This window comes from Homo sapiens, chromosome 6, assembly GCF_000001405.40.
Source record: "Homo sapiens chromosome 6, GRCh38.p14 Primary Assembly".
NCBI classification, from domain to species: Eukaryota; Metazoa; Chordata; class Mammalia; order Primates; family Hominidae; genus Homo; species Homo sapiens.
In genome coordinates, this window is record NC_000006.12 from 6,968,394 (window position 1) to 6,970,017 (window position 1,624).

Genomic DNA, 1,624 nt, shown 5'->3' on the forward strand with positions numbered 1-1,624 from the left:
ATCTAAGAACTTATGAGAAATGCAGATTCTCAGGCCCCACTCCGACACACTGAATCAGAAATACTGGGGTGGGGCCCGGCCATCAGTGTTTTTATCAAGGGCTCTAGGGAATTCTGATACACACTCAAATTTGAGAGCCACTGCCTAGTTCCTTATCACAGCACTTACTGCAAGCTGAGTTGTCTTGCTTATTTATTTAGATGTCTTATTTCTTGTCCTCCTTCACTGGAGGATTTCAGCTGCATGAAAGCTGGGACCTTGTCCATGTGGCTCAGGGCTCTGCACCTTCTGTGACTTAGAAAGTGGCCATCACGTAATAGGTGCACAGTAAATATTTTTCAAATAAACAAACAAATCTTCCAATGTTTGCTTGTTTTCCTCAATTTCCAAGGAGCTGGCCCTGAACAATCCCAGAAGTTAAAGCACCCTTGTGAGTCATCTGGGCAAGCAGCTGGTTATCTACTGGGTGATAAGGCTCCAAGGACAGGAGGTGAATGCTGCACAGCCTGACCCCATGTCCCCTTCGCCCAAATCCCCAAGGCTGGAGTGCCCCTTCACAATCGTGCTGAACTCACCTTTCCCTATTTCAGAGGCCTGATGTTGTTCCACCACCGAGACATCCTGGACTCATGAATGGATTCAGGATCACCAAGGAGATTTCTTGTACAGGTGAACCAACTCTTGGCTGCCCATTCCTCTGCAGAGTCCTCCCTCCCTCAGGGCACCCTCCCCTTCTCCACTAACTACCACACCCAGGGAAGCAGAAGCCAGTTGTCACTATGATGCATAAAGTCCCATCTCCAGGTTACATAGCCGAATTGTTTGAGAAGTTCTTCCCTTATTAGTCGAAAGGGCAGGAAAGGCAGATCTTGGGGGAAGAGACAAGAGAAACAGCCATTCAGAAAAAAGAAAGATCATCGCTGCTTCTCACACCAACCGGTGCTCATTTTATCTCAGGGAAACACTCATAAGCCTAAAATGTACACATCATGATGACCGTTCCTCAAAATAAGGAAACTAAGGCTTAGAGGGTAACTTTTCCAGCCAGATGTGTGGTGGCTCACACCTGTAACCCCAGCGCCTTGGGAGGCCGAGACAGGTGGATCACTAGAGGCCAGGAGTTTGAGACCAGCCTGGCCAACATATAGTAAAACCCTGTCTCTACCAAAAATACAAAAATTAGCCGGGTGTGGTGGTGGGCACCTGCAGTCCCAGCTACTCGGGAGGCTGAGGCAGGAGAATCGCTTGAAACCCGGAGGCGGAGACTGCAGTGAGCAGAGATCACGCCTCTGCACTCCAGCCTGGGCGACAGAGCGAGACTCTGTCTCAAAAAAACAGAGAATATCTTTTCCAAGATCTTACAGTGGACCATAACCCTAACTCGGCTCTGACTGCAAAGCCTTTCTTCATCTCTGGCCCCTCCCTTCCGTGGCCCTGCCAGCAGCCGTTCACCCAAACAGGGAAAGAGAGAATGCATTTTCAGGAGGGAATAAGCCAGGTGACTTGAAGAGCCAAGAGGACACCTGGCTTCTGGCGTCTCCACCCACCGCCCTGCCCTGAGGCTGCCACGCCTCTCTTCCTGGATTTGCCCTGGGCCTGCCTGGGATGGTTAATATTAACGAGC

The 1,624-nt window shown here is 50.1% G+C and overlaps 1 annotated feature.

The window, feature by feature from the left end:
- Window positions 303–597: an enhancer, noted in NCBI's record as "tiled region #4402; K562 Activating DNase matched - State 5:Enh". NCBI's record gives its function as "activates a minimal TATA promoter and a strong SV40 promoter by Sharpr-MPRA in K562 cells {active_cell/tissue: K562}" and the evidence as "EXISTENCE:reporter gene assay evidence [ECO:0000049][PMID:27701403]".